Source organism: Homo sapiens, chromosome 18 (assembly GCF_000001405.40).
Source record: "Homo sapiens chromosome 18, GRCh38.p14 Primary Assembly".
Taxonomy (NCBI): Eukaryota; Metazoa; Chordata; class Mammalia; order Primates; family Hominidae; genus Homo; species Homo sapiens.
In genome coordinates, this window is record NC_000018.10 from 9,583,057 (window position 1) to 9,600,311 (window position 17,255).

Sequence of the window (17,255 nt, forward strand, 5' to 3'; positions counted from 1 at the left end):
TGTTTGCTTTAAAACGGACACAAATGTATTATTTTACAAAAGTGATAATCAAAACCCTACCCAACGTGAAGGATCACTGATCAAATTAATAAAAAGTGCTGATAATTTGGTCCGTCGGATTTCTTGACATGTTGCACATGAAACCGCCATGAAGCATTCAGCACAAGCCTTTCGGACTCCCCATACATTATCAGAACAAAGCTGGAAAAATCTGGGCAGCTATGTGAAAAGGAAAGAGTCTTGTTAGTTGGATAAAGATAGCAGATTTCATCAGTTACTTCGCTTTCATTTTCTGCTTTCACGCTTCTTTTGTTTGTTTGTTTGTTTTGAGACAGAGTCTCACTCTTTTGCCCAGGCTGGAGTGAGGTGGTGCGATCTTGGCTCACTGCAAACTCCACCTCCTGGGTTCCAGCAATTCTCCTGCCTCAGCCTCCCAAGTAGCTGGGATTACAGACGTGTGCCACCACGCCCAGCTAATTTTTGTATTTTTAGTAGAAATGAGGGTTCACCATGTTGGCCAGGCTGGTCTCGAACTCCTGACCTCAGGTGATCCACCTGCCTTGGCCTCCCAAAGTGCTAGGATTACAGGTGTGAGCCACCACGCCCAGCCTCAGTGTTTTAAATGTTGGATTGTCTTAAAAAGTAGGATCTATTAGTATTTATACTCAACAATTTTCAATAAATCACATCTAATTTACTGTCTATTCCTAAAAGTATAAAAAATAATGTATCTTAAATTATAAATATATAACATATAATAATATATCTTAAATTTTAAGTTATTTCTTATGAGTCAAAATTATGTTTGCTTTAAAACGGACAGAAATGTATTATTTCACAAAAGTGATAATCAAAACCCTACCCAACATGAAAGATCACTGATAAATTAATAAAAAGTGCTGATAATTTGGTCCGTCGGATTTCTGGCTATGCAAAAGCATACTGGATTGTCTTATGCAATATTTCTGGCTATGCAAAAGCACTCCCAACAATCATAGCTTAAATGTTTTACAAGAGCTTGCCCCTGAACTTAATTATTTTGCATAAGAGATGGCTTCAGAAACTCTTTAGATATGGTGACTTATACATCAAGTATAGGCATCTTGTGTACTATTTAAAACTAACTTGCTATAGATTTAATATGTCATCAACATTCTTGAGGGTTGCAATAAAATTAAAGGTTCAATTGAATAAGTAAGAATTGATTTGCTTAACAGAAATGGAAGAGGTGAAAACAGATCAATGGTTCTGAAACATATCCATATTTTTAATAAATATCAAAAAGATAATTCAAATGCCCAGATTACAGATATTTAAACTCCTAAATTCAAAATTATCTTTCTGGTTTATATTCATGGAATTGTGTTAATAAAACTTTGGAGTAAATGTGTGCATTTCAAACTTTATGTACTACTTTGTAACACACACTGTTTACTCCTTTATATCTGCAATACTTACCAACATTTCTTCAGTAGCTTGCTGGCCAACTACACTGCAAATATCTCCAAAATTGGCAGCACAGACCTGACAACAAAAGCATCATTGACATTTCAAAATATTACACATAAGGTTCTTCTAAGATAATCTTTTAAATATCATGTATCAGTACATTAACCACTAGAACTATGTTCTTAAACAGCAGAAAAAAAACGACAAAAAAATACCTTTCGAACGTGAAACATTCTGCAATCGCAGCACATCTCACAAAACCTAGGGAGGATAAGACGCTCTGTAATATCCTTCCCAACCATGGGAGCCATTTTGCACATTATCTAAAATAAGTAAGAACAAACACACACTGAAAATATCAAGTAAGCCTCTTTCAGTTAAATTAAATAATAAAAGTATATAATTTGAGGAAACATAAAATATGATATGGCATCATTATACTATATACATGACAGAAAACATTCATAGCCAATTATTAATTTCATCTTATTTATCTAAGTAGGAAACAAAGACAGATATTAACCACAATCAATAAAAACAACCAATAAATACTGCATGCCCAGTAAACCCACAGAAAATCCTAACAATTTCATTTTTGTCCACAGTTTCCATCTTACTACTACTTCATCATTTTGCCTGGTAATTTTAAAAGCAAAACAAACAAACAAACAAAAACCTACATTTTCCCAATTTAAAAAATTGGTGACTGTTCAAAGGGAAAACTATCCCCAGGAAAGATCTAGATTTAGCATATCTGTATTGCTAAGAAAAAATTCAGTCCTCGCCTTGCAAAGCACCCTGTGAACTAAAGCTCATACATATCAGAACCATGTCCTGGTTTTGCAAAGCTTCAGTTCCAGGGAAAGCATGAACACAGTTCTGATATAGGCATGTTTCAGTTAACACAATAGGAGGCAAAGTGAGGATTAACTTTATTTGAAAACTGGCCCTCTATTTAGATACATTGTTCCCACAGTTAATACAGAAAGAAATGGGATAGCCTGTTGTCATTTATCAATTGTATCAATTGCTAGACTGTACAAACAGGACAAAATAAAGAAGTAAAAGAGATACAGATTGCAAAGAAAGAAAATTCTCTCTATTCAAATACGACATGGTTGTCTACACAGAAAATCAGAAGGAATCTACAAAGAAGCCACCAGAATAAGTATGTTTAGGAAGGTTGTAGGCTATAAATTAGAATATAAAAATCTATTGTATTTCTACAAATTAGCAATGAACAATGAACTGGAAACATTTAAGAACAGTATCACTCACAGAAGTACTTTTAAAAAATATGAAATCGAACAAAATACACACAAGAACTTTCTGCTGAAAACTACAAAAGATTAAAGATATAAATCAAAGACCTAAATAAATAGATCTACCATGTTCATAGACTGTGAAACTGGCAATTGTCTCCAAATTGATCTACAGATTCAACACTATCCCCATGAAAATCCCACCATCATCAGAACTAGAGATAACGCCTACATCTCCTAAATCCCAAAACCAGTTTTGTTTTTTGAATAAGCATCTCCATGCTCTAGTTAACAATCCAAAGTTATGCTGTATATCACTGATGTAGCATAACTAAATTTATTTAAAAATGAATTATTTTTATTAAGAAATTAATTTTTATTAAGAAATAATTATTATTTCTCTATCTATTAAGATAGAGAAAATATGGGAGCCATGGAATATAAAACATGACCAAAAAACAAACACAACTGTAAGAGAATCATAAGACTCCTACTAGCACTGGATATAGTTTTTAAATTTTTTATTGTAATGTTTTACTAATTTTACATTGCATCGAGAATTATAATACAGCAAGTTAAACGGCTCAATATAAACCAAAAATTAGGCCAAGCCCAAAACTGATTTCCTTCATTGCAAAAATCCTAAAGTGAAAAAAGAAATAATGATGTTTTGGAACTAGGAAGAAGTGGTGGTTATACAACTTTGTGAACATATTAAATGCCACTAACACTAAAATGATTTTATGTCATGTAAGGTTCACTTCAGTAAAAACATTACTGAAAAAGTAAATTTATTATTAACTGGTAACTGAGTATCTAAAAATAATAGATTCAAGAAATTCTTCAAGGGAAAGAGACTAGAGAGATCATCTAATTCATCCCATTACTGATGATCCAGAAGCACTAAATATAGTGTGATTATTAAAAAATATCAACAAAGACGCAACCATATTATTTTAGGCTTAAGGAGTGAACTCTTACTATCCAAATAGATATGAATAAATTTCCAGACGAATTTATCACTTTTCTAATTTACCATGAGAATTACTACTATCCGAACTCAGGAACCAGATGTGAATCACAACAGATACTACTCTATACTAATTCATGCCCTATCATGGCCTTCAAGTAATCAGAATATTTGCAAACCATGTCAAAAAAAAACCCAGAAACTTCCTATTACATTTGACTTTATGATGTGCGTAATGACTTAACAATCTGTATATTCTTCTGATAACCATCACTGATGTCATATATCCTGGGAAATGTACTTGCCTGACCATCCTTCCCACAAAGACCATACCTGTCAGAGCAGGAGCAAAGTATTATTTTATTTCCACTGTGCTTACACAGTGCCTAGAAAAGTGTTCAATACCTACTGAAGGGGTTCAAGTGTTTCTTCGTTCAGTCCAGGGTTTTTAAAATTTTAACTGCACTGATAAAATAACCATTTCAGTTTTCCACTTTGACATAATAATTTACAATTATGTATTTTTTCGTATTGTGTGCAGAAGGTACACTTTCCTTTGTAAGCCTTTATGTCCCTTTCTAGCCCTGATTGTATTTCAAATTTAATGATTTGTGGCAACTTTAACAGAAAGCAGCCTTTTCTTTCTTTCTTTCTTTCTTTTTTTTTTTTTGTTTTGTTTTTTTAAGACAGAGTCTTGTTCTGTCAACCTGGCTGGAATGCAGTGGAATGACCTCGGCTCACTGTAACCTCTGTCTCCCAGGTTCAAATGATTCTCGTGCCTCAGCCTCCAGAGTAGCTGGGATTACAAGCATGTGCCACCACACCTGGCTAATTTTTTTTGTATTTTTAGTAGAGATGGGGTTTTGCCATGTTGGCCAGGCTGATCTCAAACCCCTGGTCTCAAGTGATCCTCCCACCTTGGCCTCCCAAAGTGCTGGGATTACAGGCATGAGCCACTGCACCCAGCCCAGCCTAATTTTTTTTTTTTTCCTTGAGGCGGAGTCTTGCTCTGTCGCCCAGGCTGAAGTGCAGTGGCCTGATCTTGGCTCACTACAACCTCCACCTCCTCCCAGGTTCAAGTGATTCTCCTGCCTCAGCCTCCCAAGTAACAGGGACTACAGGCGCACACCACCATGCCTGGCTAATTTTTGTATTTTTTTGGCAGAGCCAGGTGTCACCATATTGCCCAGGCTGGTCTCCAACTCCTGACCTCAAGTGATCCACCCACCTCGGCCTCCCAAAGTGCTGGAATTACAGGCATGAGCCACCGTGCCTAACCCCGGCCTGACTTTTAATAAGCACCTCTTATCAGCCACATTTTGCATAAGTGGAAAAATGGCATTTGACTTACAGCCACAGCTTCTGTTTTCACATCATCATTGCTATCTGGGGCTGTCAGCTCTATGAGGACAGGGCACACTTTGGTCTCCACATCAAATCGTTCAATGAGCTCCTGCTCCAACAGAGCCAGCAAAGCTGCCTGACTTGTTTTCCTCACCTAGGAGAAAAATAACAACACAAAGAAAGTACATATGCAACATGACAAAATTCTATCACTTGATTTTTATAAACAAAGATTTCTCATCTCAAAGGGACCCATAACTGGCAAAACTCCGCAAATAAATATTTGTGTTTATTTTCTTCAACTATTACAAAGACTACAGAACTTCGTAGATTGTGCTGTAACAGAGGAAGTGGACAGAGCCATCCTGGTAAAAGATGCCTCACAAAGTAACAAACCTTTTAAGGGACCGCTAGGAGGTTACCAAGTGAGAGTGCAGTTACTAGGCATTGTCCATAATGGCATTAAAGGGATCTACTAGATTTGTCAGACTCTAAACACATCTTGTCTAAGATAAATATTCATTTTTGAAAAACAGTAAAACATTCCAAAGAGAACACTTAGGCTCGGCTATTCTCCATATATTACACTACGTAAATTTCTTTTAAGAACATATAAATGGTACTCTTACCTGATTATTCTGATCTGCAAGGTATCTAACCACAATAGGTAGTAAGAATTTTGAAAAAGCATATGGTATTGAAGGCCGGTTTTCTTGACAAAACAGTGCGATGTGAGGCACCTGTTCCATCAGCTCCGCTCTCACAGTTGGTTCTATTGAAATAACGGCAATGTGAGCAAACATGTTCTCCTGCAGCAACAAAACCTTTATCTGTTCTTGAGGGTACTTAGGAAGGCTATGGACTTTCATCTTCAAAATATAAAGGACTTGAGACAACATCCTTTAATTCTGCATTCCTTTTCAGAATCATACACAGATCAATCCCATGAGTGAAAGGAGGACCTTATCTTCAATCCAAGCTTCTGTTGTTCACAGTATGCACTGAGTATCTAACCATTTCTTAACAATAAATAAATTTATTCATCACCTACACTGTGCCACACTGTGCTAGGGGTTAAATATCCTATCTGATATTTACATCAATACTCTGACACATACATAGTATTATCCATAAATTCCACTATTTAAGAACCTACTAGGACAAGTCATAAAAACTAGTTCCTAATCTCAACTTAGTCAATAAATGAAAGATATATAATTAGACTTAACTAAGACTAAAAATGGGTAAATGAAAATTAAAGATGACAAATATTTTTTAAACACCTGAAAAGACCCAAGTGCATATGGCAAATTTAAATGTGAGAAATATGGCATTTCAAATTTCTGGGCTTCAAAAAGATGAAATGTCTAAGAAGCAACAGTAGGAAAATCAGCTAGTTAGCACGGAACAAAAGTTCCTACTGCACATCATAAAGATCAAAAGTACTAAAAGATAATATTAAATGTTCAATCTTGAGGTGGGAAGACAAAATCCAAAAATCAACCGTAAGACCAACTAATTATACATTATAAAAACTTTATTATAGGCTGGGTGTGCCTGTAATCCCAGCACTTTGAGAGGCCAAGGCGGGCAGATCACTTGAGGTCAGGAGTTCCAGACCAGCCTGGCCAACATGGTGAACCCTGTCTCTACTAAAAATACAAAAATGAGCCAGGTGTGGTGGTGCATGCCTGTAATCCCAGCTACTCCAGAGGCTGAGACAGTAGAATCACTTGAACACGGGAGGTGGAGGTTGCAGTGAGCCAAGATCGCGCCACTGCACTCCACCCTGGGCAACAGAGCAAGACTCTGTCTCAAAAACAAACAAACAAAAAAACTTTATTATAGATAACAGATACCAATACTCAGTTAAAAGGGAAAACAGCCTGGGAGCAAATTCATGTATAACAGAGTATTAGGAAGTGAACACACTGTTCAAATAAATAATAAGAAAGAAAATAAGGATACAAGTAGGCAATTCATAGAAGACATGCAAGTGACTGAAATACAGACAGACATGATGGATTATCAGTAACAAGTCATTGTATCGGACCTAACTAGAACTCTGATACCCATTATTATTATGCATTAATAAAGCTACATTAAAGTAAATATGTATGAATGTGTCTACTAGGATTTCAGATATCAACAGAGAAATTAACATACCTTTAAGTAGATAATACTGTATTTTACAAAGCTCAGAATCTTATCAACAAACCAATATCTGGAATTTCTATTATACTGTTGTACCATGTGAAGTTGGCCAGATATGAACAAAATAGAGTGTTTCTGTTTTGAAGAAAAACCTAATTTTTAAAAAAGTAAACATACAGGCCTCTGCTTTTCTCATGGATGCTGAATTTTCTAAGTTAACACTGACAATTGCTTATATTTTTGAAGCAAAAGGAGGACACAAGTTATGGTTTCAGTTAAAAATGAAATCAGCAACTTTTCTTTCTTCAAAGCCCCGCTTAGGCAAATAGACTAATGGGGCGGGGCAGGGGAATAAAGCCCAGAAACAGACGCATGCATGTACAGACAACCGATTTATTAAAAGGTGAACTGGGAAAGATGGTCTTCCCAGTTGTGTCAACTGGCTACTCACATTAAAAAAAAAAATGAAACTTGTCCTCCACTTTGTATCACGCACATGAATAAATTCCAGGTGGAATACAGATCTGAATGTCAAGGCAAAAAACAATAAGGCTTCTCTGTGTTAGAGAATACAGGAAAAGATATTTATGACTTTGAGATTGGAAAAAATCTCAAAGAAGACACAAACGGCATGACCCATAAAGGAAAAACACTTCTCTTCTGCAAGAAGCATCACGGAGTGCAAAGAGAAGCCACAGAGTGAAAAAGATATCTTTAATACACATAAATGACATACGGCTCATATGCAGAATGAATTCCTGTAAATCTGTAAGAAAATGACTACCAATTTTTTAAAGGGGGAAGAGACTTAGACATTTCAAAAAAGAAGAAGCCAGGCATGGTGGCTCATGTCTGTAATACCAGCACTTTGGGAGGCTGAGTCAGGTGGATCACTTGAGGTCAGAAGTTCAAGACCAGCCTGGCCAACACGGAGAAATCCCATCTCTACTAAAAATACAAAAATTAGGCAGGCATGGTGGTGCATGCCTGTAATCCCACCACTCGAGAGGCTGAGGCAGAAGAATCACTTGAACCCAGGAGAAGAAGGTTGTAGTGAGCCAAGGTCATGCCACCACACTCCAGCCTGGGTGACAGAGTGAGACTCCATCTCCAAAAAAAAAAAAGATACCCAAATAGCCAGTAAGTGTATAACCAGGTATGAACTTCACTGGTTACTGAGGAAATGCAAATTACAACCACAATGAGATACCACTATACATCCATCCATTCCGGGGGAAAATAAAAGCAGATGGTAAATTTTGGGGAATAAAAAAATCAAGATAAAAGCTAATGAAAGGTAAGGCAGAAGACCGAAAGGTTCTCAGCTGCTTATTTGTCTAAACTAAGGATACATATTTCATTCACTTCAGAGCTATGTTATTATTCAATAGTCTTTATCTTACCCAGCTATCACAATAAGCCCAGTCCTAAAAATTAGAAACCTCAGGGTCAAATCCTCTCTCTTCCTCACTCTATCCAGAGGTTAGCCTTGGAATCCCTCCTAGTACTTCAATTTCTATCCAACAATTCATCCTTATAACAATTAACTGGCTGGTCACGGTGGCTCATGCCTGTAATCTCAGCACTTTGGGAGCTTGAGGCAGGTGGATCACTTGAGGCCAGAAGTTCCAGACCAGCCTGGCCAACATGGTGAAACCCCTTCTCTACTAAAAATACAAAAATTAACTGGGTGTAGTGGCACATGCCTGTAATCCCAGTTATTCGAGAGGCTGAGGCAGGAGAATTGCTTGAACCTGGGAGGCAGGGGTGGTTGCAGTGAGTGGATATCACGCCACTCTGCTCTAGCTTGGGCAACAGAGCGAGACTCTGTCTCAAAAACAAAAACACCCAATTAATTGGTATAGTCTTCCAATCAAGTCTTCTTGTCACCCATCTTTTTCACCATATCAGTTCATACTGCTACACTACACTGTTCTAAATCACAAAAAGGTAAAGTCATCAGCATGGTTTATTATAAACCTTTACAATCTAGCCCTCACCTAACTTACTTAACAGCCTAATTTTTCTAACCTGGAAACTCAGCAGGTTAGTCTCATTGTCAGGTTGGCCTCATTGTTGACCAAAGGGGCCACCATCTTGAACTCCTTTCTCTATCTTTTCCCCTCCTGGGTATGCCCTTTTCCCTCTCTATACCTCATCTATCAAATCCAACTTAAATGTCACTAACTTTCTGAAGCCTGCCCCGATCCTTCCCATTATAATTTATTGTTTATATGTTGGCTGCATTCACTAAACTGTTAACTTGATGACACAAATCCTTGTTCACCTTAATAACTGCTCTAGCATTTAATCTAGAACCTGGTATAGAGTATGTACTGTTTGATGTATACTGAATGAATGGAATTATGTCAATAGAGACATTTACTATGAATTTACCAATGTGAGAACATATTTTAAAATACACACACACACACTTACAAAAAAAAAAAAAACTCTGGAGCTGGTAAACAGGTAAAGGAAAACACAAATCTATCCTTAAAGAGTATCTGTCTCTACTAAAGAACATAACCATAATAGGCTATAACAGTGCCATGAATTTATGTTAAATTGTTATTTAACTTAAATCAAATTAAAAAAATAAGTAAAAATTATGCTTGATGAGACCCCTCCTAAAACCATTCTAGAACAAGCACATACATAAGCAATTATGTACACAAAGGTAGATTATTGCTCAGTTAAGCCTACAAATGTTCTGCCCACCCTGTAAGAATATTAGAAACATTTAAGGCTTATGTAAACATTTAACACATTCCCATTAAAATGAACTGTTCATCAAAAGATGAGCTTGTCTAAAAATTAAAAAATAGGGCTTGCTGAGATGCCAAAAAGTCTGTCAGAGGTAGAAAATATACTTTAATAAAGATAATAGATTTAAGGGAAAAAGTTTTAAGATTTTTGGATGGTTTCTAAAATCAAGTATAAAAATATGTTTAATATTACCTTAAAATAGTTTTATGTGTTAAGTTTTAAGTATATTTTACTACAACAAAAGATATATTTATAAAAACTTTAACATCACCATTTTCTAAGCCTTAAATCAAGTTTACCTCTTTCTTAAGCAGACTTTCTTATCTTCACTTTGGAGATAAACCAGCTTTAGTTTTACAAATGGTTAATCAACATTTTTTTGCAAGTGAGAAACCACACAGAAAGCAAGCTTTCTATAGTTGCCTAAAATAATTTACAGCCTCCTCCATCTCTTTTAATGTATTCAAAATTATTCTATATATTTTTATTAATCCTAAAATATTACTATACATGATGCAAAACAATGTTTTTAGATTTGTTTTGATGAGAAATTTCTAAAATTAAACTAAATGAGCCCACTGTAAAATGTCCAGGTCTCAGTAACAAATTTTACTTTTGTTGTCACTGATGGGTTTGATAATTACTTAGGAAATATTTTAAAGCTATCTCATATCACATTAACTTGTTCATTAGTTTTTAGAAACACAAATTTGATCAAAGAAGCCTTTCTAGAATAGAGTAAATTCACTTTCTCCACATATACCTGAATCATCGGCCAATCTGCTAATTCTTTCCAAAACAGCAATACAATCTCTTTCATCATCGCAGACTTCCCTCAAGGTATCGAGCAAACTCCGGGCCACCATTTGTCTACACAAAAAAAACAAAATTATGTATGTTCAATGGCATCAATAGCTAATATCCAGAATTTTAATTTTTTGAGACAGGGCCTCATTCCTGTTGCCCAGGCCGGAGTGTAATGGTGTGATCACGGCTAACTGCAGCATTGACTTCCCTGGCTCAGGTAATCCTCCCACCTCAGCCTCCTGAGTAGCTGAGACTACAGGCATGCACCACCACACCTGGCTAATTTTTAAATATCTTTAGTAGAGATGCTGTTTCACCATGTTGCCCAGGCTGGTCTCAAACTCCCGGGCTCAAGCAATCCACCTGCCTTGGCCTCCCAAAGTGCTGGGATTACAGGCATGAGTCACTGCACCTGGCCGATATCTAGAATTTTAAAAGACAAAATCTGTATATTTTTTAAGAAAATTTTTTCTTATTACATTATTAAAACATATATTAGGTCTATAATTTCCTAAGTGGCAAACGGCAGTATTGATTTTATTTTAACAAGATGAGACTGAATATTTACAACATTTTTTTTTAATCTTTATCTAACTGATTTGGTAAAAAGTCACCAAAAATTCATTTCAGTTGTCCTTCAATTATCACAATGAAAAAACACACTCATTCATTATACAAAATGTTACCCTTACATATTTTTAGTAGTATGAGTTTTGCATAGCTATACCCAAAAAATCTGAACCAAGACTTTTTGATTTCCCAGAAAAGTGTGATATAGGTGGTCTGGGATCATGGCTGGACAAACACAATGCAGTAGGAAGAGTGCTGGCTCTTGGTCACTGCTGTGTGACCCAATGATCTTGAGCATCACCCGTCATACAGCAGGTATACAACATCATGTGTTGAAGGAATAATGTACTTCCCAATAAGCAATTTATATGAATACCAAAATTATGTCCAGTGGCAGAAAAGCAATGGTAATTAATGGTAATTTTTTTTTTTGCAAAGAAAGCATGTTGTATGCTTACTAGGATCAAAGAATAAACAAGTACAAAACTGCTCATGCTGTGATTATGAATAAAACTTGGTGACTCAGATTGTGCCTGTTAATAATACCTCCTTTAAAGTGGATACTTTCATTTTCCCTACTGAAGTTAATAAAACCACCCTTCCACTTCCACTTTAACAAAAAGAATATGCACATACCTGTTAAATATGTTCTCACTTGCAGCATACTTGTCCAATCTCCCCAGGGGCGTCAACATTTCATCTTGTGAGACAAAGTCCAGGGCTGAAGGTATAATAATCACATCAGACTCTGAGCTGTAGTCATCCACACCAACTATCAGAGACATCAGAAATACTCCTTATAACACTTTGAAACTAAAATGTACCCCTTGCCTGTCTGAAGCAGTACAAATCTGTTTCTGGAATGGTACAAAAAAAAAATCACAAGAGACTCTCAGAATCAATCCAGAAGCCACAAATAACTAAAAGATACCTCCTCTCCTTTTCCTACAGATATGTTCTACTTGGCTCTATAAGCACAAAGTTCTACTTGGCTCTAAAAGCACAAAGGTCAGAGGCTACAGAAACTCAGTATGCAGGAAAGTGACCAGTCTTGAGAACATGTTCAATCAAGACACTAACAACTTGTGAATAGGCACACAAAAAGTCAAGCACCAATATAGTTAGTCCTGCAATGTGGAAGATAAAGCTAATGAAACTGGTATCTAACTTCACTTAATAGAAGAAAGCTAAAAACATTAATATATTTACATTCATTAAACAAATATTTATTAAATACATTTGTGCCAAGTACTAGGGTAGATGCTGGAGAAACAACAATGAAAATACTAATGTTTCTGACTTCAAAGAGCTAATATTCTACAGAAAACAATCTACTTTAAAATGATCATTGTAATAAAAGTATGTATTAATACAAACTAAAAGGCCAGACACCCATTCAAGCTGCAGGAGAAGGAAGAGAAGACCAAGAAAGAATGGCTAAAAACTAACCAAAAGGTAATTATTTCAAAGGAACCAAGCAATGAGTGAAAGTATGATTAAACAGCATCTACTACCAAAGGAGTCAAGGAAGAACTGAAAGGTGCCCACTGAATTTGGTACTTTTGTGCCATGCTGTGTGACAAGGGCAATTTTCCATTGCATGAAAGCCGAGAAGCCAAACCTGACTGAAGAGGTAAAGGAAAATATAATAAAGTGAAGACAATGAATACAAAATATACTTTCCAGAACTGTGGCTGTGATATAGTAAACTGGATTAGATTACTAGCCAGGGCATTCAAGCAAAATAAAGATTATTTATTTTGTTCTGTTCCTAATGTTTAAAAGAAGACAGAGTTGCACATGGTTATATAATGAAAGTAAACAGTCAACAAATAAATATAAATTGAAGTTTTAGCAATAAGAAAATATTACTGATGGAAACACCATGGGGTTGGAAAGGATGCGATCCAGAGGTAAATCAGGGCCTTTCCCAAAGCCCTAAGAGCTTTCCAAGAAATTTTTATTATTATTTCCTGGCACTTCCTATTCTATCCCCTGCATTACTTGATTTACTTTCTCAATAGTGCCTGTCAACATCTGGTACGTATTAGTTGTTTTACTTATAGTCTGTCTCTCTAGAGTAAGTTATTGGCTCCATGAGGACAGAAATTTTTATCCCATACACTGCTTCATCTCCAGGATATTTCCAGGCACAAAGTAAGCATTTAAGTATTTTTGAAACAAATAAATCTGTTCATCACTCACAATGAGATTTTGTCGTTGCTCCTTTAGCTCTTAAGAGAGAAAAAGAAAACCACCTAAGAAACTCCTCCCAAATGTTGCTATATGAGAGACAGAAAAGATTCATCATTTCCTGATGAACTGTTATTGCTGTTAGGGCATTTTAAAATGCTTGTTTTTAAAGTAAATGTGTATATACCATGGGCCCATCTTACAGAACTGACTACTTTAAACAGATAACATTTTTACTCCCAACAGAACATTATCAAAAAGAGAACACAACAGTTCCTTTTGTTAAAATAAAAATAACTTCTGTACTTAAAGAACACTTAAACATGATCTTCCACTTTTGACAAAGGATGGATTAACAGGAACCAACTTAACCCTCACACCTTAAATGGTAAATAAATAAATAAAATGACAGAGCCAGGCATGCTGATAGTGTCTGTAGTCCCAGCTACTTAGGAGGCTGAAGCAGGAGGACTGTTTGAGCACGGGAGGTCGAGGGTGTACTCTTCTATAACTGCATTTGTGAATAGCCACTGCACTCTAGCCCCTGAGAAACACAGTGAGACCCCCATCTCTTAAAAAAAAGATAAAACATACGAAGCCATGGTTTCAGACACTGGACAAAAGACAGTACTGGACAGTGATCTCTGAGAAAGAGAGGACAAATGAAATGAGCCCTATATTCCTCCAGCTAACTTCCTGGAAATAATTTCCAGAGCACTAGGAGGGTCCAAATATAATCCCAGCAGACTCCTGGAGTTGAGGAGACAGAGTTGAGAATTCAGGGAGGCCAAGGCAGCTAGAATTGGCAGAGGGAGAGTATCAGAGAGGAGGGACCTTCACAGAGAAAGAACTTTAGAAAGCTGCAGAAAGTCCCTTTGAGTCTTTAGGTGAGTATTGAAACAGTTTATGTGTGTGAGGAAACTAGTCGGTATTCTGGGAAAAATAATTACCTGAAACGATCAAGTGAACGAATCCTCGATTATCACAAAGGACAAGGACTAGTTTATGTCTCCAACAACAAAAATTTTAAAAATTCTAAAATAAATGAGGCAAAACGCCTAAGAAGTGGCAAATAATTCTCCTGGTTTTGCCTAACAAAGCTTAACAGGCTTCAAAAGAAACAAACTATCTCCAAGAAACTGTGTCACAGAACAAAACTCGAGTATGTAAATGAATATAAAAATAGCTAGCACTCAACAAGGTAAACTCTACAATGTCTAGCATCCAATAAAAAATTACTAGGCACACAAAAGGCAGGAAAATACAAACCATGAGGCAAAAAATTCTACAACAGAAACAGACCCAGGACAAAAAATATAGAATTAGCAGATAAGAACATTGAAAGTTATTTTAACTATATTCCATACATTTAAGAAGGCAGAAAAAAAGAGCATGTTAAGAACAGAGATGGAAGATGATACGAAAGACCTAAATTGATCTTTTAGAGATGAAAAAAAGATATGAAAAATACACGGGATGGGATCAAGAGCAGATTAAACATTATAGAGGAAAAAATGTGTTACCTTGAAGAAAAAGGGTAAGAAAAATATCCTAAATGAAACAGAAAAAATATGGGGGAGGAAGAGAATTAAGCATCAATCAATTGTAGGAAAACTCCAAGCATCCAAATATATGTGCAAATGGAGTCCCCAAAGAAGAATGGGAGATATAAAATATATTTGAAGAAATAATGGACAAAATTTTCCCAAATTTGGTAAAAACTATCAATCTACAGACAGATTCAAGGGGTTCAATGAAACCCATGAGCAAGAAACATGAAGAAAAGTATACCAAGGCACAATATAATCAAATTGCTTAAAGCTAGTGATAAAAACTTTCAGGCAGCCGGAGAAAAACTCATGTTACATAGAGAAAAACAAAAGAATGATAGGAGACTTTTCCATCTAAAATACAAGCCAGAAGACATTAACATCTTTCAAGTACATAAAGAAAAATACCTACAACTCCATACCTAAGAAACAAGACATCTTTCAAATATGAAGCTGAAATAAAGATTTTTTTCAGCCACACAAAAACTGACATCATCAACAGCAGACATGCACTATAGGAAATAATAAAGCAAACCATTCCAGCAAAAGGAAAATTACACCAGATGAGAATCTGGATCTATACAGAAGAATAAAGGACATCAGAAACAATTAATATGGGGCCAGGCACAGTGGCTCACGCCTGTAATCTTATCACTTTGAGAGGCCGAGGCGGATGGATCACTTGAGCTCAGGAGTTCAAGATCAGCCTGGGCAATATAGTAAAACCTTGCCTCTAAAAAAAAATACAAAAATTAGCTGGGCATGGTGGCGTGCACCTGCAGTCCCAGCTACTTAAGGGGCTGAGGCAGGAAGACTGCTTGAACCTGGGAGGTCAAAGCTGCAGTGACCTGAGATGGCACCACTGCACCCCAGTCTGGAAGACAAAGCAAGACCCTGTCTCCAGAAAAAGAAAGAAAGAAAAAAAAAAGGTTAATATGGGATAAATAAAAAATTTCTTATTTTTCAAATCTTTAAGATAACTGCTTAAATAAAAATACGTACTAAGAAATAAATGGATAAATATATATTGTGGGGTTCACAACATATGTAGAAGTATAATGTATGACTATAATAGCACAAAGGCAGGAAAAGGGTAAAGTATACTGTTATAAAGCTCTTACGCTGTGTGTGAAGAGATACATATTACTTGAAGTTAGACTGTGGAAAGGTAAAAATGCATATTAATTATAAACTCTAAAGCAATCATTATTTAAAAAGAAACACACATACACCAAAGACATATAACTACTAAGCCAGTACACCACCTAAGTAATCTAAAAGAAGGCAGAAAAAGAGAATAAAGGGAACAAGGAAGAGATGGGACAACAAATGAGAAACAACAAGATAAAGAGATTTAAACACAACCATATCAGTAACTACATTAACTGCAAATGGTCTAAATAGCCCAACTAAAGGCAGAGACTGTCAAATTGGATTACAAACAACACCTAACCATGAACATAATTATACACTGCAGCTTATTCTGTCTACAATTCATAGCAAAATACCTTATTAATTATAAATCAGAGCTGTAAAAGCCACTCAGCCACTCTCATCTGGCCTCAGTTTTCTCCTTTATAAGACTGTTAAGCTAGCATAACCTTGAAGCACCTTTATAAAGGCTGTAGAATTCTATGACTATGACCAAACTGTTTCATCAGTCTCATACTTGTTAATCTTAAAGATAAACAATAAAATTGATTCTGGCCCATAAAAAGCAAAGGGCAGTGGGAAAAAACTCCTACAGCTGTGACTGTCAAACATAATTATGTTCAAGACAAGCTTGTGGCACTTACCTAAAATGCAGATACCTAGATCCCACACTCAGATACTGATTATGTTAGTCTGGAGTAAGGCTCAGGAGCATTTATTTTTAAATGAATAACCCCACTAATTTAAATGCAGACTGTTATACAACCATACTTAAGAAGCCTACTCCTAGAAGGTAACAAAATCATATTCTGCTTCAAATGTTTTGCTATCACTCTATCATGATTGATAATCACTTCCATACAAAGGGAGTGTTCCACTCTGGTACAGACACTGGTGACAAATGTTCACTTCTATTTCCCAAAAAAAAAAAAAAAAAAAAAAATTACAATCCTAGGAGTAATCTCTGAAACACACTAGAAGGTATAGCTAGAAAGATAATGGAGAAACTAAAATTGAGTACTAAAAAATATTCAG

At 35.9% G+C, this 17,255-nt stretch overlaps 1 protein-coding gene across 19 annotated transcripts in view; it reads right to left on the reverse strand.

Annotated features, from left to right (window-relative positions):
- PPP4R1 (protein phosphatase 4 regulatory subunit 1) overlaps positions 1 to 17,255 on the reverse strand; it is a 70,406-nt gene that overhangs the window by 36,263 nt on the left and 16,888 nt on the right. For 5 of the 19 annotated variants that reach the window (NR_168404.1, XR_007066261.1, XM_011525775.4 and 2 more), the window contains exons 3-9: positions 11,962 to 12,097; positions 10,712 to 10,818; positions 5,655 to 5,797; positions 5,033 to 5,179; positions 1,665 to 1,772; positions 1,459 to 1,524; positions 61 to 219 (exon numbers count right to left, since the gene is read on the reverse strand). Coding sequence is in view for 15 of the 19 variants with exons in the window: in XM_011525775.4 (XP_011524077.1) it covers positions 61 to 219; positions 1,459 to 1,524; positions 1,665 to 1,772; positions 5,033 to 5,179; positions 5,655 to 5,797; positions 10,712 to 10,818; positions 11,962 to 12,097 (866 nt within the window). In the remaining 4 variants the exon portion in view is untranslated. The remainder of the gene's footprint in view (positions 1 to 60; positions 220 to 1,458; positions 1,525 to 1,664; positions 1,773 to 5,032; positions 5,180 to 5,654; positions 5,798 to 10,711; positions 10,819 to 11,961; positions 12,098 to 17,255) is intronic. The other 14 variants (NR_168403.1, XM_011525776.2, NM_005134.4 and 11 more) reach the window with 6 other exon arrangements.